The sequence below is a fragment of the Homo sapiens genome, chromosome 20, assembly GCF_000001405.40.
Source record: "Homo sapiens chromosome 20, GRCh38.p14 Primary Assembly".
NCBI lineage: Eukaryota > Metazoa > Chordata > Mammalia > Primates > Hominidae > Homo > Homo sapiens.
In genome coordinates, this window is record NC_000020.11 from 31,547,046 (window position 1) to 31,567,540 (window position 20,495).

The following is a 20,495-nucleotide window of genomic DNA, read 5'->3' on the forward strand; positions in this document are numbered from 1 at the left end:
CACTCCACTGTCCAGCCAGAAGGAAGGAGAGGCATCCATATTCCCTGTCCATTTAGCTATAAGAGAAGCTGGAAAATGGCCGTGAGTCGGTCTCGTGTCCAGTTAGAACTAACTCATCAGGGTGCGCATCTGCAGTCTTCTGTTCCGGCAAGGAGAAAGCATTCGTATCATTTCTAGCTTGTCAAGCCCTACTGTTTCAGCGATCCTCATTGGAGAGGAATCAGCAGTCGAAGGAACAGCGGGCCAAGCGCAGTCGTGACGTGGCGTTCAGAGAGCGGAAGTTGTCAGATTTCACCGGGCCGTAAAGCGCGCTGGCTGTGTCATCTTCCGGTTAGCGACAACGGCTCTGACCGTCTGGCAGGCCGCGTGGCGCCCGCGCCGGCCTTCCTGCAGGGGACTCCACCGGAGCCTTGCCAATTCCGTTTGTTTCCCTGTTGTCGCCCGCTTCACCCTGGATCATGTTCAAGAAGTTTGATGAAAAGGAAAGTGTGTCCAACTGCATCCAGTTGAAAACGTCAGTTATTAAGGGCATTAAGAGCCAACTGGTAGAGCAATTTCCAGGTATTGAACCATGGCTTAATCAAATCATGCCTAAGAAAGATCCTGTCAAAATAGTCCGATGCCACGAACATACAGAAATCCTTACCGTAAGTGGGGAATTATTGTTTTTTAGACAAAGAAAGGGGCCTTTTTGTCCAACTCTAAGGTTGCTTCACAAATACCCTTTTATCCTGCCACACCAGCAGGTTGATAAAGGAGCTATCAAATTTGTACTCAGTGGCGCAAATATTATGTGTCCAGGTTTAACTTCTCCTGGAGCTAAGCTGTACCCTGCTGCAGTAGATACGATTGTAGCAGTCACAGCGGAAGGAAAACAGCATGCTCTGTGTGTTGGGGTCATGAAGATGTCTGCAGAAGATATTGAGAAAGTCAACAAAGGAATTGGCATTGAAAATATCCATTATTTAAATGATGGGCTGTGGCACATGAAGACATATAAATGAGCCTCAGAAGGAATGCATTTGGGGGGCTAAATGTGGATATTGATTGTGTCGTATGTGTGTTTGTGTCTGTGTGTGACAGCGTGAATACAATGCCTCTGTGGTTATGCTAAATAAGTTTAACAGATACTTTATAGAAAACAAATCAGGGTGCTCTTACCACAGATGAAAAAACAAATTAGGGGACAAGCAGCAAGCAGTCTGCTAACACTCTGGAATGTGAAAGGAGTGTCTGGACTCTGTGACTCCCGGCAAACTCCACAGCCTCTAGTTGTCTTCTTAGGAAGCTTGGAAGCAATTGAGAATGGTCTAACATCAAGATGTCTACCACAGGGCCCCCCACAAAAGCAGCCTCGGGGACTCCGGCCTTTCCTTGAGACCTGCATCTCTTCCCTTCTTCATCGCCTGCTAGTGAACTGAGGCTGCCGCTAACCTTCTTCATCCTTTGGTGGCAAAGTAGAAAGATTCCAGAATTAACTCGACCTTTCTAAAGACCTGGGCTCAGAGGCAGCTGGCACTGACTGAGCACCCACTATGTGCCAGGCACTGTGCTGAATGCATTGTAAGGACTGTCTTACTTATTCCCCCACAGCAGCCCTAAGAAGGGGTGCTGTTATCCCCTTTTTACAGATAAGAAAACTGAAGCTCAGAGAGGGCACTGCCTTCCCCAAGGTCACCCAGCTACAAGTAACAAAGCCTGTGCTTCTAACACCAAAGACCACTTCCCGCTGACACTGTGCCAGGCTTGTAAGTCTCTCTCTGGGCCTCCATTCCCTCCTGTAGGAAATTGGAGGGGTTGGGGTGGCTCCAGTGAGCTCTCCCCTTCTGAAACTCATACTAATCTGGGGCAGCCAAGGCTTAGCCCCGCCAGCCTGTGAACCTCTCACAGTGCCCACAGCCATGCCCTCCTCCGTCCAGGGGCTGACAGGTGGGAGGGGTAGCCCTGCCTCAGGGAGTGGACTTACCTGGCCTCTCTGCTCAGAGATCATCAATTATGAATTTGACACCAAGGACCTGGTGTGCCTGGGCCTGAGCAGCATCGTTGGCGTCTGGTACCTGCTGAGGAAGGTGAGTAGTCAGGACCTGGGCAGAAGGGGAGGATGGGGTTGACAGGGCAGGGTGGGTCACAGCAAGCTGGTCTCACTCCCCGCTTTCCTCAGCACTGGATTGCCAACAACCTTTTTGGCCTGGCCTTCTCCCTTAATGGAGTAGAGCTCCTGCACCTCAACAATGTCAGCACTGGCTGCATCCTGCTGGGCGGACTCTTCATCTACGATGTCTTCTGGGTGAGTCAGGCAGGGATGCCAAGGATGTCTGGCTCCGGGGCCATCTCATCTCATCACCCTGCCTCTCTGGCCCAAGTTGCAGTCATCTGACGGAGAAGAGCTGTTTTGGGCTGAAGTTCCGGACCGCAGAGCAAGTCCTCTCTGGGCCCATCTGTGAGATGGAGCCAGAGAGAGCAGATTCTACCTCTTTCTGAGAGCACACTCATGCCCGGTGCCTTCCGACCACCTGCCTCTCTTCCTTGCTAGCAGGGGTGTTACCTAATCCCATGTCTCCTTGGCAAGGGAGTTGAGACTCAAAGAAGTTCAGGTAGGGGTGGAAGAATGTTGATGAATGGGCCCAGCAAGGGCATTCACATTCACTCTGAGAGGCATCACAGAGGGACTGACGTCAGCCTGACTCAGGTACCCTTTTCCTGGCCCCAGGCAGCCTCTTCCCCTCTCAAGTGGGTAGCGCTGGGGGACTTTATCACTTGGGAGGAACAGAACTGTGAACAAACATAGGCTGCCTGGCTTGGGCCATCAGAGGTCTTTTCTATACTCCCTCGAATTTCCCCTTTGTTGCCCAGAACCAGTATCAGTGGCCACCTCACCTCAGCTTCAGATCTGCACTGGAGCCCCTCCCAGCTCCCCTCAGATCCCAGGCAGCAGCACATCTAGAAGCCCAGGGACAGCCATTCTTCCCCCCACAGCCCCTCACTTCCCTTCATACTGCTCTTTTTTTCTCCTTCTAGGTATTTGGCACCAATGTGATGGTGACAGTGGCCAAGTCCTTCGAGGCACCAATAAAATGTAAGTGACCACCCTGCCACAGGGAACCCCTTCCCCCACCCCTGCCGGGCCATGCCCCCACAGCCCGTTTCAGTCAGTGCATCTCCCTATCTCTTCCCCATGTACCTCTTCCTCCTGTGGCTCCCCAGCCTGGTTTCCTTATCCTCAATTGATTCATCTGGCTGTGTTCATCCTGCCCAGGTCCCGGCCCCTGGCCACTTGGTCGTGGTGCAGCATGGCGTGAAATGAGCCAAAATGGGAGCGAGCATGGAGGGGAAGTGTTTAACCCAGCCCGGGGGGCACGCGCAGGGGCTTTCCAGGAGAGAAAACCTCTAAGCCGAGACCCCTCACTGGGGTCCCCTTGGCACCTGAGTGTCGGGTGCTGTCTATCCCGTGCCTCTCAAACTGCCTTGGTTTTGTTCTTCAGTGTATCCACTGTTTATAAGTAATAGAAAATCCACCTACAGGTTGAGCATCTCTAATCCGAAAATCTGAAATCCAGAATGTTCCAAGACCCAAAAGTTTTTGAGCACTGACATGACACCACAAGTGGAAAATTCCACACATAAGGACTTAACACATGTGAACTGTGTTTCATGCAGGAAATAGCATTTTAAGATTGTATAAAACTCTTTAGGAGGCTGAGGCGGGAGGATCACTTGAGGCCAGCAGTTCAAGACCAGCCTGGGTAACAGCAAGACCCTATCTCTACAAAAAATTAAAATATTAGCTAGGAGTGGTAACACACATCTGTAGTCCTAGCTACTTGGGAGGATCTGAAGCAGGAGGATCACTTGAGCCTGGGAGTTCCAGGCTGAAGTGAGCTATGATCATGTCCCTGCATTCCAGCCTGGATGACAGAATGAGGCCCTGTCTTTAAAATTTATATATGTATAAATATATATGTGTGTGTACATATATAAAACTACCTTCAAGCTATTATGTATAATGTGAATTTCATATTTAAACTTAGGTTTTATCCCCAAAACATTTCATTATGTATATGCAAATATTCCAGAATTCAAACAAAGTTTGAAACATTTCTGGTTGAACCATTTCAGATATGGGATACTCAACCTGTATAACTGTCTTTAAACAAGGGGGAAATTTTGTCATCTCACACTACAGCAAGCCCAGGGGTAGAAGGCTCAGAGTGAGTTAATGACCCTCTCTTCACCAAGAGCCAAGGTTACTTCAGGACTCCCACCCCAGCATTCTCAGCATGTCCACCTGCCCCTTAGGTCATCCCTTCATGGTCCCAAGATGGCTGCCACAGCTCCCAGCACTGACTCCTCACATAGCTGTGTCCAGAAAAAGAAAGGGGAAATTATGTCTCAGGGAGGGATGGTTTTTCCCAAGTCTCCTGTGCAGTCTCCCTCATACTTTATTGGCCAAAACTGTGTCACAGGCCCAAGTCTAAACCATTCACCAGTGAGGGGGATAGGAAACATGATTGGCTTAGAGTTTAAGCTTTAGACTAGTGGAGAATCACCTGCTGGTATTACAAGGCTCAGAGAGGGGAACAGAATCCGTCAGGCATGCTAGCAAGGAAGAGAGGAAGATGCTGCCGGGAGGGCAGGCAACAGTGAGTGCATGCCATGGAAGCACTGGCTCGTGGCGACAGGCAGTCGTTGGGGGAGACTGGGGGAGATTCCACTCAGGGGATCAAGAAACAGCTGTCTTTCTCGTGACTCACTCTACCACTGCGGACAGCCTTTCTCCCTGCGTTGAGGAGAGCTTCATGGCCACAAACAGCTCCTGAATTCTGTGGTCCCAGCTTAGTGACCCCAGAGGAAAACAGGTTTCTCCCAGCTTTGGCCTGAATAAACCTACAAGACCTGGCCTGGCCCATGAGCCAGACACTCCCACTGGAGAGATGGAGGATCGTGATGGACAGGCCAGGGTCACTGCCCTCTCCAGGGCCTGGGGGCAGAGTATTGGAATTGGCAGCCCCCGAGAACCAAGTGTACACGGGGAGGGCATTTCTCCAGAGCAAGGGAACAGATGCTGGGCCAGCCAGAGCAACAGCTATTCCCCAGTGCCTTGATGGTTGAGCCTGGGGGTGTGTAAGCCCAGAGAACCCAGCCAGGGTGTCAGGAAAATCTTTTCTGGGTCATGAAGGATGAATACACATTTCCCAAGCATACAGGGGCAATATGGGCATTTGAAAGATAATGTACAGCTTCAGCAAAGGGCTGGAGGCAGGAAGGTGCATGGAGGGGCCTGGGAGCAGAGAATCAGGGAGTGGGCATAGCTGAGTTCAGGGAAAAGAGGCTGGAAAGAGGTGGGCAGAGGCCAGATTTGGGAAGCCAAGGATGCCACTCTAAGGAGCTTGGACACTGCCCCGTAGGCCACTGGAAGACTCCGAGCAGGGAAGTGGTGCTGTCATATTTGGTTTCTGATACTTAGGGTCTGGTTTTCTGGGCTAGGGAGAAGACCCACTGCCTTCTACTGCTAGGACTAGTGCTCAGTGGCAGAAAGGCAGAACAGTGAAGTGCTCATATGCTGACATCAGGCTGCCTGGACTTGAATCTCAGCTCTGCCACTTGCTGACCGTGTGGCCTTGGGGAGAAGACTTGTCCTCTCTGAGCCCTGGTTTCTAGAACTGTAAAATGGTGACAATAGTCTCTGCCACTCAAAATTGAATGGTACCAGGATTGAGAGAGAAAATCTGTAAATCACTGCGTTGTACATTCAAGGCAGGAAGAGGCAGGCAGGGCAAGGGTACCTATCCATGTATTAGGGAAGCACAAGCTTATTCAGAATCCCTGTGCACGCACCTCTGTGTACCTGTTGTTGGCCAGATGAAGGTTGCAGTGAGCCAAGATCACACCACTGCACTCCAGCCTGGGTGACAGAGTAAGACTCCGTCTCAAATATATATGTATATATGTATAAAGAAATAAAAATTAAATGGCCAGGCGTGGTGGCTTACGCCTGTAATCCCAGCACTTTGGGAAGCTGAGGTGGGCAGATCACAAGGTCAGGAATTCGAGACCAGCCTGACCAACATGGTGAAACCCTGTCTCTACTAAAAATACAAAAATTAGCCAGGCATGGTGGCGCATGCCTGTAATTTCAGCTACTCAGGGGGCTGAGGCAGGAGAATCACTTGAACCCGGGAGGCAGAGGTTGCAGTGAGCCGATATTGCGCCACTGGACTCCAGCCTGGGCAACAGAGCGAGACTCCATCTCAAAAAAAAAAAAAAAAAAATGTTGGCCAGAGCTGACCCCCTACCTGCAAGTAAGGAATTCAAGGAACAGGATTTTCCTGATTGGCTTAGTCTTGCACCACACTTATCACCTGGGAAGGCTGCCTAACACAAAACCAGGACTGGATTAGTAAAGAAGGCATGAGGTAGCAGTTAACTGTGTACAAATCATCTAATCTTCACTATCACCCTGAGGGGTCAGTTCTGTTGTCTACCCGTTTCACAGGTGACAAAACTAAGGCAGGTAAGTAACCTGTGCAGAGCACAGAACTAGGATTCAGACCTACAGACCCACAAGTCAGCCTCTAAGGCCCACTTATAACTGCTCTTCTGCTTGCAAGGCCCTATGGATGAAATCCAGTTATAACCTCCTTTTGCTATAACTAGACACAGAGGGAGGCGTTTCTCCCTAATCTGTATTTATCCAGACAAGCTGTCCAGCAAGATTTCTGAGTGAGGGGCTTTAAGGAAGCAATCTGCGGGTGTGTAGCCTTTTCTCCCTCAGCAAATACAGAAGGAGCTTATAGCCCGGGCTCACCCTGCTTCAGAACAAGGGCCAACATCTGTCCATACCCCTGTTATAGTGAGATGGGAAACCTTGTAGATGTTGGCACTGTGTGGCTCTTTTCTTTTATATACTGGGCTTTAGGGTCAATCCCATTTAACCAAAGGGTTCAATAGCTATAAAAAGGCGTTGAAATTGTATGGTTATTTGAGTTATAGCTCAGTAAAGGCATTAAATCTTCAGCCTAGATGACCCTATTCCTCCCCACTCTAACCAGCTGTGACTCCAGATGGAGACATTGCCCTGCATCCTCTCACGTCCCCATCCCCCACATCCCACCCAGAAACAAATGTGTGAGTTTCATACAACAAGAATGGGGGGTTAGGAGTCAAAGTAAGCTGGGAATACAAAAATGGGGCGGGCGTCTAAAATCCCAGCTACTCAGGAGGCAGGAGAATCACTTGAGCCTAGGAGACAGAGGTTGCAGTGAGCCAAGATCGTGCCACTGCACTCCCGATTACAGTCCTCATTGCCCTGGGCAATAGAGCAAGCCCCGTCTCAAAAAAAAAAAAAATACAAAGTAGGCCGGGAGCGGTGGCTCACGCCTGTAACTCCAGCACTTTGGGAGGTCGAGGCGGGAGGATCACGAGGTCAGGAGATCAAGACCATCCTGGCTAACACGGTGAAACCCCGTCTCTACTAAAAATACAAAAAATTAGCTGGGTGCGGTGGTGGGCGCCTGTAGTTCCAGCTACTTGGGAGGCTGAGGCGGGAGAATGGCATGAACCCAGGAGATGGAGCTTGCAGTGAGCCGAGATTGCGCCACTGCACTCCAGCCTGGGTGACAGTGCGAGACTCCGTCTCAAAAAAAAAAAAAAATGTAAACTGGGCTCCAGCTGACTCCTCACATTCCCGCCTCCCGCTTCAGTGGTGTTTCCCCAGGATCTGCTGGAGAAAGGCCTCGAAGCAAACAACTTTGCCATGCTGGGACTTGGAGATGTCGTCATTCCAGGTGAGCCTGCTGGTGTGGGGGCTATGTGAAAGGGGTGGAGAGGGTATTCCCCGGAGCAAGGGGATTACTGCTAAACAGACAGGCTTACCAGCTGAGAAAGAGAAAAGGTAAGGCTGGATCAGGCCAGGGATTGGTGAAGGGTTCCCCCTTAACATCCGTTTACGGAGGGCCAGTCAGGTGCCATGCCCCAAGCTGGGTCCTGGTCAGGTGTCAGTGAACAAGACTGTCTTCACAGAGCCTCTGGTCTAGGTGAGCAGATGTTGCTCAAGAACTACAAAAGTAAAAGTCTAATGACAGATTGAGGTACACTCTGAAAAAGCACGTTTCATGACAATCTTAACAGACTGGACCCCTGTCACACACACCCACACATACACATACCCCTTCCCAGCATCTGCAAGCATCACAGATGTACCAGAATTGCCCTAGCCCCCTTGCTCCTCCTCCCTGTGCCAAGACATCTCCAGGGAGAACACACACATGGGCTCCTGTCTGCACTCTCAGCAGAGGAGCATGTGCGTGCACACCTGCTTATCTGCAGAGGCTGGCCTTTGAGCCCCTGGATCTGCGTGTGGGTTCTAGTCAGTGTGTCTGTGGGTATGGACACGGGCCCTGTCCACAATCCAAGCAGGATAGCACATCCTGCGCAACCACAGCCTGGCCTCACTTTGGGGCAGGAGCAGCTCAAACTACCAGTCAGGAAAGAGACTAAGGGCAAAGCTGAGCTGCTGAAGTGGCTGAGGCTCGGGTGTGTCTGCTTATCTGGGCCCAGTTGTGGGGGCAGTGAACCCAAGGGACATACTTGTCTTCCTAGCCTCAGAGTGAGAGGGTTAGAAGCTTGCTTAAAAGAAGGTTTTAGCTGGGCACAGTGGCTCACACCTGTAATTCCAACACTTTGGGAAGCTGCGTGGGGAAGATCACTTGATGCCAGGAGTTCAAGACCAGTCTGGACAACATAGCAAGACCTCATCTCTACAAAAAAAAAAAAAAATTAGCCAGTCGTGGTGGCTCATGCCTGTAGTCCCAGCTACTCTGGAGGCTGAGGTAGGAGGATCGTTTGAGCCCAGGAGTTCAAGGCTGCAGTGAGCTATGATTGTGCCACTGCACTTCAGCTTGGGTGACAGAGTGAGACCCTGTCTCTTAAAGAAGGAGGTCTGGCCTGGGCAAATTGTGAGACCATATATATATATAAAATTATTATTTCTCCTTTTTTTTTTTTTTTGAGACGGAGTTTTGCTCTTGCCCAGGCTGGAGTGCAATAACGCGATCTCGGCTCACTGCAACCTCTGCCTCCCTGGTTCAAGCGATTCTCGATTCTCCTGCCTCAGCCTCCCAAGTAGCTGGGATTATAGGCATGCACCACCACGCCCGGCTGATTTTGTATATTTAGTAGAGATGGAGTTTCTTCATGTTGGTCAGGCTGGTCTCAAACTCCCGACCTCAGGTGATCCACCTACCTCGGCCCCCACAAAGTGCTGAGATTACAGGCATGAGCCACCACGCCTGGCCGACCCCGTCTATATTTTTTAAAAGAAGAGGAATTATTTTAAAGCAGCAGATTAAAGGCTGACTTACTTTCCAGGGTAGGATATTATAGCAATTCTGATCACCTAGGGTGATACAGGCACTTCTATTTGTGACAGTTGCATTTTGTGACACATGGAGGTGACACAGAGGCTTTCCCTGTTTTACCAGTGAGGAAACTGAAGCTCAGAAGTAAAGGGAATGATACAAATTCACACACTAGTAAGCAACAGGGCCAGGACTCAGACCAGCACTGTCCAACTGCAAAAAAGGCTACGCTGTCAGAACTGCTCCTTACAGCAGCACTAGCAGTAATAAGACGGTAATCACAACAGCTACCATTTATCAAGCACCTGTCGTGTACCAAGAATGGTGCTAGGTGGCCGGCCGGGCACGGTGGCTTAAGCCTGTAATCCCAGCACTTTGGGAGGCTGAGGCGGGTGGATCATGAGGTCAGGAGATCGAGACCATCCTGGCTAACATGGTGAAACCCCGTCTCTACTAAAAATACAAAAATTAGCCAGGCGTAGTGGCGGGCGCGTGTAGTCCCAGCTACTCGGGAGGCTGAGGCAGGAGAATGGCATGAACCCGGGAGGTGGAGCTTGCAGTGAGCCAAGATTGCACCACTGCACTCCAGCCTGGGCCACACAGCCAGACTCCATCTCAAAAAAAAAAAAAAAAAGAATGGTGCTAGGTACTTTTTATATGTCATCTTTACTTCTCCCAGCAGTCCAGTGAGATAGAGGGCATTTCCATTTTACAGATAAGGAAACTGAGGTTTGACTTGCCTGAGGCCACGAGGGTATGGGCTTGCACCCATGTGTCTTCATAATTTGCAGTGCTGTGAGGCAGGGAGACTTGCTTCCCCAGTAGAAGGCATCTCTGTCAGACAAAAGAAATGGAGTCCTGTAAAGCATCTGGCTCACTCTTAAGGGCACGGTCTGTCATTCACCCACACAAACTTCCCCTGTGTCCTTGTCATAAGTTCCAGGCTTGAGACAGGCACAGGACATCTCGGCATATCTGTCCTTTCCCCACCCTCTATATATATCCCCAGTAGTCCCGCAATCACAATAAATGTAAGTTGATCACAGTGGAGCGTTGTTTGGAAGGCCAGATGCACTTTAGGAGTGAAAATCCCTGGCAGAGCTCTGACCCCTGGATTAGTTGGAGAACACTCGTAGAAATCAGCCGCCAGGGGGCACTGAGTTCCCAGCTTGATTCCAGAATAACTGCAGTTGTCTGCTCTATCCCCAACCAACTCCCTACTCCTACAGAGTATTCATTGAGAACTAATTCATTTCCCTCTTTAAAATTAATCATATGTTGACAGTTGACAGGCAGTGCTTCTTTTTTTTTTTTTTTTTTTTTTTTGAGATGGAGTTTTGCTCTTGTTGCCCAGGCAGTGCAATGGCACAATCTAAGCTCACTGCAACCTCCACCTCCCAGGTTCAAGTGATTCTCCTGCCTCAACCTCCCAAGTAGCTGGGATTACAGGCATGTGCCACCATACCCAGCTAATTTTGTATTTTTAGTAGAGACGGGGTTGCACCATTTTAGTCAGGCTGGTCTTGGAACTCCTGACCTCAGGTGATCCGCCTGCCTCGGCCTCCCAAAGTGCTGGGATTGCAGGCGTGAGCCACCGCACCCGGCCAGGCAGTGCTTCTCAGCGCCTTCCTTCAAGTAAATGAGACTCAGAGCCCAGAGCCCAGTAAGGGAGGCGACACACAGGGTGTGCGTATAGCACAGGGACAGGACTGGTTGGCTGTGTTTTGGGGTTGCTTAGGCTTCCGGGATGTCTCTTTCTTTTTCTTTTTTCTTTTTTAGCAGAACCATTGCTTACAATTGGCTTGGTTTTCAAGTTTCAGAGTGCAGTGGGTGGACCGAGGTAACCCTCTCCTGTGCTCCTGTGGAGCCTTCAAATAGCCCACTGCTTGCCCCTCCTCCTCCCCCCTCCAGCCACGCACTGCCACAGGGGCCTTTTTCAAAATGTGTTTAGGTTGTTCTGCTCAGAACTCCTCCAGTGCGTCTCTTCACTCAGGATAAAGACCCAACTCCTCCCCATGGTCCTCGGGGCCCTGCAGGGCTGGTCTATCTCCTCATCTCCTGCCAGTAGGCAAGCTGCCTTAGTGACCCCTCAGTCCCTGCCACATCTCCTGAGCACTCTTTCTCCAGGACCTTTGCACATGCTGTTCTCTCCTCCTGGCGTGTGGCATTTCCAAGAAGCCTTCCTTCTTTCCCCTCCTTCACCCCTGCCCAGCCTAGGTCTCATCCTGTTACACCTTCTTACAACATGGGAAGCACAATTCTCCTGCCTCAGCCTCCCAATAGCTAGAATTGCAGGCGTGCACTGCCATGCCCAGCTCATTTTGGGGTTTTTTGTATTTTGAGACAGAGTCTCACTCTGTCGTCCAGGCTGGAGTGCAGTGGCGTGATCTCGGCTCACTGCAACCTCTGCCTCCTGGGTTCAAGCGATTCTCCTGCCTCAGCCTCCCGAGTAGCTGGGACTACAGGTGCCTGCCACCACGTCTGGCTAATTTTTGCTTTTGTTTTTTGTTGTTGTTTTGTTTTGTTTTGTTTTTTTGAGACAGAGTCTCGCTGTGTCACCAGGCTGGAATGCAGTGGCGCGATCTTGGCTCACTGCAACCTCCACTTCCTGGGTTCAAGTGATTCTTGTGCCTCAGCCTCCCGAGTAGCTGGGACTACGGGCACATGCCACTATGTCTGGCTAATTTTTGTATTTTTAGTGAGACGAGGTTTCGCCATGTTGGCCAGGATGGTCTGGAACTCCTGACCTCGTGATCCACCCACCTCTGCCTTCCAAAGTGGAAGCACTCTTTAACAGTCACAATCTCACAATGATTTCCGTGACTATTTGAGGTATGTCATAGTGTGGCTACCCTGTCCCCCTGGCTGAGCTCTGTGGGAGCAGCGATTTTGCCTACTCCTACATTTCCCATAGTGCCTGGTACATAGGCACTTGATAAGCATTTGGGCAGACACGGTGTGACATAGTATGATGCGGTGAGGTGCTGGGTCATTGTAGTCCCAGGCCAAAGCAAAATCCTGGGCCCCTCTCATTGTTCTAGGTAGAGAAATGGGACTTTCTGCTGTCACTTGAGAGTATTGGCCACACCCTTGGTCTCCAATGATTGCTCCAAGATGGAACACCAGGTTGGGGACCAGGACCCAGTCTCCTGTTAGTTCACTGCCCTGCTGCTTCCCTGCCACTCTCTAACCCCAGCTTTCTCCCACAGGGATCTTCATTGCCTTGCTGCTGCGCTTTGACATCAGGTGAGTGAGTGAGGGCCTGCCCCAGCATGGGCTTCTCCAGGGATTCTCCAGTGGCCTTCAGGAGCCCAGAGAAGGTACCTCAGGAGACCAGACCCTCCACCCCCACAGCAGCCAGAGCAATTCTGATTTTATCTGCATTTTGCATCTTGAAGTTCTAAGTATTTGAAGAGCCTGTGGTCAAAAAATTGTTTTAAGAATCATAGGCCAAGAGATTTAAACCCACAAGGGCCTGGTGGTACTCACAGTGCTTTCTCACTGTGTGACCTTGACAAGTGGCCTGACCTTCCTGAGCCTCTGGTTTCTCATCTTGAGTTAATAACAAGAGTTCCTACCATGAAAATCTGGAGAGAGTGCTGAGCACACACTGACCTCAGTCGCTCTTGGTTGAATCCTGGTTGCAGTCATCATCATCATCTTTTATCAGCCTAGCGTCAGGTCACCATGTCTCAGCTGCTCTAGCTGTTCCCTGCCCTCTCTTTACTCAGACATTTTTCAGTCTGTTGTAGACAGTGAGCACGAGGGGGAGAAGGTGGGCAACTTAGGTCAGCGTTTAAAACACAAGAAAGGTCTTATCCAAGTTAATGCACCTATGCAATGGGACTTGCCGTCAGCAGGGGGCGCCAGCAACAGCTCCATCATTTTATGCCCCGTCATCCCTGTGAGGGCTGGCAATGTTGCACTTAACTTTGAGGTGGTTTGTGAACTTCTCTTGATTTCCTCATGCCTGATAGTTGCAAAAGCAGTAATAACAGTGACAGTGGTAATGAGAAACTTACTACCAGCATCATTGAAATCCAGTTTCCATGTGAAACTTAGGTTTTTCCCACTCACATACACCTGGGTTATTTGTGTAGTGCCACTTCAAACCTTAGGAGCATATGGGCTCACAGTCACCTTTGGAAGAGACCTGGCCAGTCTGTAAGTAGAGGGATGTCTGTGCCAGCCGTCTCTACTCCTGGCTGTTCAGAGGTAATACAAAGTGAAACCCATAAGAAGCCCCCAGGCTATTTGCTGGAGACAGATTCAACTGCCAGCACCCTCAGAGACAGAGTCTCATTTTTTAGCCTGGGCTCACAGCATAAGCAGCTCCTCAGCTGATTTCCAGAATCAGTGCAACATTCCCAAAGGGAGTCACTTGTATCCCAGTTCTCAAGATAGGTGAGTTCTCAAGGTACTTGCAGCCGAAGGCTTAGAAGCACCCAGGACAAGGAGAGAAGGGGGTCAGAAGCACTCATTCATTCCACAAATGTTAATTGAGTCCATAGTACTGGCTGGGCACATCCCAGGTGCTGGGGACATGCAGAGGTTACGGAGCTGGCATTGGAGAGGGAAGTCACGTAATGGCAATGCCGGGCTGTATATGATTCATCTGTTCTGAAGCTGATCTTGGATGAATCACCTCCAGGAAGCCACTGGCATTTATTCATGCAGCCAGCATCTAGTTAGTACCACAAATAGGCTATTGAACTATTACGTCCACTGCACTTAAAAGTAGTAACTTATCTTTGCAGTTTCTGTATCTGTGTTTCTCAAAGCATGATCCAACGGTATGAGATTCACCTCAGATGTTTTTTTCAAAATGCAGATTCCTGGGCCCTGCTCTAGAGCTATTAGATCAGACTCCCTGGGGGTGGGACCTAGAATCCTGCATTTTTTCACAAGCTTTCCAGATGATTTTTATGCTGACTAAAGTCTTACAGCCACTGTTATAAGTTGCAGCATTTGATATTCATAACTACCAAGGAGATGAGCTCATTTTCCCATTTTGCAGATGAGTAAACTGAGGCTAAGAGAAGGAAAGCAACTTGTCCAGAGACACATAGCTGGGGGCAGTATCAGCGTGCACACCCACCTCCAGACTCCCAGCCCAGAGCTCAGTCACCCCCCCACAACCTCTAGGGTCTTCCCCAGCTCCCTCAGAAGGGGTATTACTAGTTCAGTCCCTATATCTAACCCTCCTCCTCTTTCTTCACACCTTCCCTGCAGCTTGAAGAAGAATACCCACACCTACTTCTACACCAGCTTTGCAGCCTACATCTTCGGCCTGGGCCTTACCATCTTCATCATGCACATCTTCAAGCATGCTCAGGTGGGCAGGACGGTATCAGAGTGTCAGGAATGCCTCACTGCAAATAGAGGGACTTACAGAGGGATTTATTTGTAAATGCAAGCAGTCCAGAGATAGGCACTCCCCACTGGTGTTGGAGCAGTCATGTCTGTGATTCTCTTGGCCTTCCATTTGTGGTTGCAAGATGGCTGCCACTGCTCTAGGCAGCATGGGCACGTTAGAGGCAAGAAGGAGGGAAAAGCGTAACAGCCATGCCTGCTGCCTTCATCAGGAAGGCAGGAACTTTCCCAGAACCCTTTCAGCATCTCATGGGCCAGACTGGGGTCCTAAAGCCACCCTGGCTACAGGAGAGTCCAGGAAAGAGGATTTGGCTTCTCAGCCTTGGTAGTGGGAAGCAGGCAGAGAAGAACAGGATTGGAGTGGGTGTTGGGTATTGGGGCGTCCCTCCCCCTACTCCCTAGTAGACCAGGCTCTGCCTCCTTCTCCCACCAAGATGAGGATGGAGTACTGAGCTGCCACAGAATGAAGCAACATAGCACAAAGACTGGGAGCCCTCAGTGTGGCCTGGAGAGGGGAAGATTCAGGGGAAAGTGAGCAGACAGGATTGCCCTACTTTCTACTGGAAATAATAAGAGCTCCTGTTTGTTAAGCACTTCCACATGTCAGGCTCTGCACTCATGAGGATCCTTGTGAACAGGTGGGGAAACTGGAGTTCAGGTGACACACTGCAAGTATGTGGTAAAGCCAGGATTCAAACCTGGGTCAGCATGGAAACCACACCCAGGCTCTCAAGCCCTGGCCATGGGAAACGCAGCATTGAACAGGGGCTAAGGGAGCCCTGTTGTGAATCCCAGCACCACCCAGTAACCATGGAACTCTGGGCTTGCTGCTTCTGTCCCCTTTCCCCTTCCCCAGGGCCCAAATACAGACGAGCCATCTTTGAATTAATCACAAAAGCTGGGGTTTTTTTAATCACTCTGTGCCAGGCACTGTGCTAAACTCTTTTGCTAATAACTCATTTAGTCCTAGTACAGTATTACTTTATAGAAGGTCAAAAGGCCCCTAGCCCATAATTAGAAAAACCAAGAACAACCATTGTGGAACTGCCTCTCACTTCTGCTCAAGGGCTTCAATGGCGTGTAAGGTGAGAGTAACATGCGTATGGCAAGGGTCACAGAGAGTGACTGGACCTGGTTTGGAGGACTAGTTAAGAGACCTTTTGGAGGTCTCTGCAGCTCCCGGCCCCTTATTGGAGTCCAAGCCCAGAGCCAATTCCCCCAGTGGCCATAAGGTGGCAGCCTCACCCTCTGCCTGGCTGGACTGAGAAGAGGCTCCCATTCAGAGCTCTGGCACACAGGAGTCCTCTCCTTTATCGGAAAACTGCAGCGCTGAGAGAACGCGAACACTACATCAGGCTGGGCCCTGGGTGGCGATCTGGACTCCAGACTAATGAACTCCTGAACCCTGCCCCAAGGCCTGTGTTACTCCCCAGCAGCAGCCCAGCCCTTCTCCCCAGTCATCCAAGTGGGTACCTCTCTGAAAATCCTTGGAAAGGGGATCCAGGACATGAGGGGACCCTGTCCCATGGGGTCCCCTGCTCTCCAACACACAGGTAGTCCCAGTGCTAGCATTGGTCTAGGTAAGGGTCACCTCTGCCTTTGTGCAGTGGTGTGATCTCAGCTCATTGGAGCTCCGCCTCCTGGGCTCAAGCAATTCTCCTGCCTCAGCCTCCCAAGTAGCTGGGATTACAGGCGTGCACCACCACACCCAGCTGATTTTTATATTTTTAGTAGAGACAGGGTATCACCATGTTGGCCAGTCTGGTTTCAAACTCCTGACCTCAACTGACCTGCCCACCTCAGCCTCCCAAAGTGCTGGGATTACAAGCGTGAGCCACCACACCCATCCTACTTAGGGATTGTTAGATTCAATAATTTAATATACATAAAGCAGTATTGATCACAGCCCACCTATGACAGATGGCAAGAAATAAGTCTGAATGTTAGGATCAAGGGCATGCGGGAAAGACTTCTTTGTTCTCTGGCCAAGGGCTGGCTTTACGTTAAGAATGAAGTCTCCGGCCAGGCGTGGTGGCTCACACCTGTAATCCCAGCACTTTGGGAGGCCAAGGTGGGTGGATCACCTGAGGTCGGGAGTTTGAGACCAGCCTGACCTACATGGAGAAACCCCATCTCTACTAAAAACACAAAATTAGCCGGGCTTGGTGGAGAATGCCTGTAATCCCAGCTACTTGGGAGGCTGAGGCAGGAGAATCGCTTGAACTGAGAGGCGGAGGTTGCAGTGAGCCGAGATCGCACCACTGCACTCCAGCCTGGGCAACAAGAAGGAAACTCTGTCTCAGAAAAAAAAAAAAAAAGAATGAAGTTTCCTCACCCTCTCCAGGACAATCTCTTCACTTCATGAGCACCCATGAAGACGCACCATGAAGGAGCCATTCACTGAGTATTTACCAGGCCCTCTTCAGTATGCAGGGCACACTACGGTGAGCAAGACAGCTGTGGGCCCGCCCTCACTGAACTCACCACCTATGGGGATGTTCCATTACAAATTGCTGGGGAGGCCAGGCACGATGGCTCACACCCATAATCCCAGCACGTTGGGAGGCAAAAGCAGGTGGATCACTTGAGCTCAGGAGTTCAAGACCAGCCTGGGGAAAATGGTGACAACCAGTCTCTACAAAAAATACAAAAATTAGCCAGGCATGGAGGCGCACACCTGTAGGCCCAGCAACTTGTAGGACTGAGGCGAGAGGATCACTTGAGCCCAGGAGGTCAAGGCTACAGTGAGCCATGTTCATATCACTGCACTTCCGTCTGGGAGACAAAGTGAGACCCTGTCTCAAAAAAAAAAAAATTGCTGAGGAATGCTGTGAGGGAAATTAGAGGGACTTACAGAGCACGTAGCAAGGGACCTGACTCCATGTGAAAGAACTCAAGTGCACCAGCCTGGCCAACATGGTGAAACCGCATCTCTACTGAAAAATACAAATATTAGCCGGGCATGGTGGCGCATGCCTGTAATCCCAGTTACTCAGGAGGCGGAGGTTGCAATGAGCCAAGATCGCACCATTGCACTCCAGTCTGGGAGACAGAGCAAGACTCTATCTCAAAATCACAAAAAAAAAAAAAAAGAAAAGAAAAGAAACTCGGCCAGGCGCGGTGTCTCACGCTTGTAATCCCAGCACTTTGGGAGGCCAAGGCAGGCAGATCACAAGGTCAAGAGATCGAGACCATCCTGGCCAACACGGTGAAACCCTGTCTCTACTAAAAATACAAAAAAATTAGCCGGGCATGGTGGCAGGCACCTGTAGTCCCAGCTACTCCGGAGGCTAAGGCAGAAGAATGGTGTGAACCTGGGAGGCAGAGCTTGCAGTGAGCCAAGATCACACCACTGCACTCCAGCCTGGGTGACAGAGCCAGACTCCATCTCAAAAAAAAAAAAAAAAGAAAGAAACTCTTTGGGCTGGGCGTGGTGCCTCAGGCCTATAATCCCAGCAATTTGGGAGGCCGAGGCAGGTGGATCACCTGAGGTCAGGAGTTCGAGACCACCATGGCGAACGTGGTGAAACCCCATCTCTAGTAAAAATACAAAAATTAGCCAGGCGTGGTGGCAGGCACCTGTAGTCCCAGCTACTCAGGAGGCTGAGGCAGGAGAATCGCTTGAACCCTGGAGGCGGAGGTTGCAGTGAGCCAAGATTGCACCATTGCACTCCAGCCTGGGCAACAAGAGTCAGAGACTCTGTCTCAAAAAAAAAAAAAAAAAAAGATTTGGGTCTCTGAGTCCTGGGCTATTTTCCCTCTCCTTGTGAAGCATTGGTCTTCCTCCTCTGCAAAAGGATAACCATCATGGGATGTGGCAGTGGGCTGACTTCCTGGGAAGGCTAAGCTCAGTGCCTGCACAGTAGATGTTCATGAACAGGGTCTTAGTATAACCGTCCTTTTCTCCAAACCCAGCTTTACCAGGAGTCTCAGCACAGACATGCCAAATTGCTTGGGTGTGAATCCTGGGGGAGCCAGTGACCAGCTAGGTCACCTTAATACAGGCTGCAACAAGTAGTTATTACATAGCAGCTGTGGTGTCATCATCACTATAATAGCATCTCCTGGAGCATTTGCTAAAATGCAGGTGTGAGCCCCAGACCTCAGGAAGCAGAGTCTCTGGGAGTAGGACCAAACCAGGAAGTTGCTTTTTGAACCTGGTGACCTAGGTGATTCAGATGCTGCCAGCCAAACCCCTGGGAACCCTTGAAGCCCTGCCTACTTGAGTTTCTTAGTTTTCTTGCATTCCCTCTCGGGAGGAGCAACCCTTGTCTGGGAGTTAGGAGCCCTGGGTTCAGGCCCAGCCACTGACTTGCTATGGTCCTGGACCAGTCACTGTCCTTCAGTCCAGCCCAGAAGGGGTTTGGGGTGCTGGGCACGGCCCTGAGGCAGTGCCGTGCCCAGCATGGCTTCACCAGCCTGTGTCCTCTCATAGCCTGCCCTCCTATACCTGGTCCCCGCCTGCATCGGTTTTCCTGTCCTGGTGGCGCTGGCCAAGGGAGAAGTGACAGAGATGTTCAGGTAAGGCAGAGTGGGGGGCAGATGTCCTCATGGGCACCAGTGTGCCTGCTGGCAGTCAGTGGAACCTGCTGGGGGTATCTTTACACCTCTCCAGGGGAACATTGTTCCTGCCACCAGCCCCACCCCTTGCCTTTTTCAGCAGTACATGGGTACCTGGCCTGTGGACACCAGTGGGAACCTTACCCTGGGCCAGGAGCCAGGGGAGCGCAAGGCATCAGAGCCCTCTAGGCATCCCCCATCCAAATGTTAGCTGGATCTTAAGAATAGCTGTTGTGGATTTTTCTCTGCCTACTGTCAGAAGTCCTAGGTGACTCTGCCCCCAGGTGACTTCAGGCATGTCTTCCCCTCCCATGGCCTCAGTTTTCACATGTGAGTAATAGAACAGGGGGCGTGTGGGATGCCCTAGTGTGGTAGAAAGTGCCCCGAGTAGAAGGCAGGTGTCAGTCCCTGTTCATTCACCTCTGTGGCTTTAACCCACAGCTCACTGCTTTCTCTATATCTGTATCTCACACAGATACCCCTTCCCCAGGGCCATATCCACACCTACCACACCCTGCACACAGCCCCACCCATACCGCAAGGCCTGCGTGACTCCAACAGGTGTCTGCCCCCAGCACTGCCGACCCTGCCTGCCAGGGACCTAGAAATAGCTGTCAGTTGCGATTAAAGCTGCCTACTCGGGTGCCTTCCGCCCAGTTCCACCTGCCTGGCCTCCAAGCTGTCCCTAGAGCGCTTGCCAGGGCCTCCTGTGCACCTGGCTCCCCGCAGGGGAGCCTGTGACTCACCCCTCCCCCGGACCTGCCTCTGCCCTCCCTGTCCTGTCTAGAATCCCCAGCCCCCCGCCTGCCTGCCCACATTGCCTCGCCCAGCAAAGCTCTGTGGTCTGAGGCAAGTGGGGGCTAGGGGTGAACTTGGGGACAGGTCTCAGGGAGCTTTGGGAGCAGGCATGGCACCCGATCCCTGAGCTTAGCACCCATCCTTCACCCTCCCTCTGCTTCCCATCCAGCCCAGGTTTCCCTGCCCCTCCCCTTGGGGTAACCACCCAATGCTATTGTGCCCTCATCAGGCAAAGCTCTGAATACACAAGGCAGAGGGTGCCCCTGGCCTTTACCTGCTTGGTGCTAAATGCTCTGCCATACAGGTACCCTGCCCCCACTGTTTGCCCTCCACTCCCACCCTGGACATTCTTAGATTGGGGTAAAAAGCAAGTGATCTCTCTCTCTCTCTCTCTCCCTCCTTTCTCCC

General features: G+C 51.0%; 2 protein-coding genes across 4 annotated transcripts in view, besides 8 other annotated features; both read left to right on the forward strand.

Moving 5' to 3' along the window:
• HM13 (histocompatibility minor 13) overlaps nucleotides 1–20,495 on the forward strand; it is a 55,102-nt gene that overhangs the window by 32,604 nt on the left and 2,003 nt on the right. For all 3 annotated transcript variants that reach the window (NM_178580.3, NM_178581.3, NM_030789.4), the window contains exons 5-11: nucleotides 1,984–2,069; nucleotides 2,162–2,287; nucleotides 3,019–3,076; nucleotides 7,701–7,784; nucleotides 12,566–12,602; nucleotides 14,589–14,691; nucleotides 19,165–19,250. In NM_178580.3, the coding sequence (NP_848695.1) occupies nucleotides 1,984–2,069; nucleotides 2,162–2,287; nucleotides 3,019–3,076; nucleotides 7,701–7,784; nucleotides 12,566–12,602; nucleotides 14,589–14,691; nucleotides 19,165–19,250 (580 nt within the window). The remainder of the gene's footprint in view (nucleotides 1–1,983; nucleotides 2,070–2,161; nucleotides 2,288–3,018; nucleotides 3,077–7,700; nucleotides 7,785–12,565; nucleotides 12,603–14,588; nucleotides 14,692–19,164; nucleotides 19,251–20,495) is intronic.
• Nucleotides 89–1,288: an enhancer, noted in NCBI's record as "BRD4-independent group 4 enhancer chr20:30134937-30136136 (GRCh37/hg19 assembly coordinates)". NCBI's record gives its function as "activates an origin of replication core promoter dependent on BRD2, P300/CBP, MED14 and CDK7 cofactors, and independent of BRD4, by STARR-seq in HCT116 cells {active_cell/tissue: HCT116}" and the evidence as "EXISTENCE:reporter gene assay evidence [ECO:0000049][PMID:35650434]".
• Nucleotides 334–1,036, forward strand: MCTS2 (MCTS family member 2). Its single transcript, NM_001397496.1, has one exon. The coding sequence runs from the start codon at nucleotides 459–461 to the stop codon at nucleotides 1,002–1,004; it is 546 nt and encodes a 181-aa protein (NP_001384425.1). The 5' UTR covers nucleotides 334–458; the 3' UTR covers nucleotides 1,005–1,036.
• Nucleotides 2,791–3,292: an enhancer, noted in NCBI's record as "H3K4me1 hESC enhancer chr20:30137639-30138140 (GRCh37/hg19 assembly coordinates)". NCBI's record gives its function as "activates a minimal SCP1, AML or CMV promoter by ChIP-STARR-seq in naive H9 embryonic stem cells {active_cell/tissue: H9 hESC(naive)}" and the evidence as "EXISTENCE:reporter gene assay evidence [ECO:0000049][PMID:30033119]".
• Nucleotides 3,293–3,792: an enhancer, noted in NCBI's record as "H3K4me1 hESC enhancer chr20:30138141-30138640 (GRCh37/hg19 assembly coordinates)". NCBI's record gives its function as "activates a minimal SCP1, AML or CMV promoter by ChIP-STARR-seq in naive H9 embryonic stem cells {active_cell/tissue: H9 hESC(naive)}" and the evidence as "EXISTENCE:reporter gene assay evidence [ECO:0000049][PMID:30033119]".
• Nucleotides 7,705–8,204: an enhancer, noted in NCBI's record as "H3K27ac hESC enhancer chr20:30142553-30143052 (GRCh37/hg19 assembly coordinates)". NCBI's record gives its function as "activates a minimal SCP1, AML or CMV promoter by ChIP-STARR-seq in naive H9 embryonic stem cells {active_cell/tissue: H9 hESC(naive)}" and the evidence as "EXISTENCE:reporter gene assay evidence [ECO:0000049][PMID:30033119]".
• Nucleotides 13,540–14,739: an enhancer, noted in NCBI's record as "P300/CBP strongly-dependent group 1 enhancer chr20:30148388-30149587 (GRCh37/hg19 assembly coordinates)". NCBI's record gives its function as "activates an origin of replication core promoter dependent on BRD2, BRD4, P300/CBP, MED14 and CDK7 cofactors, with strong dependence on P300/CBP, by STARR-seq in HCT116 cells {active_cell/tissue: HCT116}" and the evidence as "EXISTENCE:reporter gene assay evidence [ECO:0000049][PMID:35650434]".
• Nucleotides 18,743–19,618: an enhancer, noted in NCBI's record as "H3K4me1 hESC enhancer chr20:30153591-30154466 (GRCh37/hg19 assembly coordinates)". NCBI's record gives its function as "activates a minimal SCP1, AML or CMV promoter by ChIP-STARR-seq in naive H9 embryonic stem cells {active_cell/tissue: H9 hESC(naive)}" and the evidence as "EXISTENCE:reporter gene assay evidence [ECO:0000049][PMID:30033119]".
• Nucleotides 19,619–20,494: an enhancer, noted in NCBI's record as "H3K4me1 hESC enhancer chr20:30154467-30155342 (GRCh37/hg19 assembly coordinates)". NCBI's record gives its function as "activates a minimal SCP1, AML or CMV promoter by ChIP-STARR-seq in primed H9 embryonic stem cells {active_cell/tissue: H9 hESC(primed)}" and the evidence as "EXISTENCE:reporter gene assay evidence [ECO:0000049][PMID:30033119]".
• Nucleotides 19,768–19,907: an enhancer, noted in NCBI's record as "active region_17683". NCBI's record gives its function as "activates an Ori minimal core promoter by ATAC-STARR-seq in GM12878 lymphoblastoid cells {active_cell/tissue: GM12878}" and the evidence as "EXISTENCE:reporter gene assay evidence [ECO:0000049][PMID:35858748]".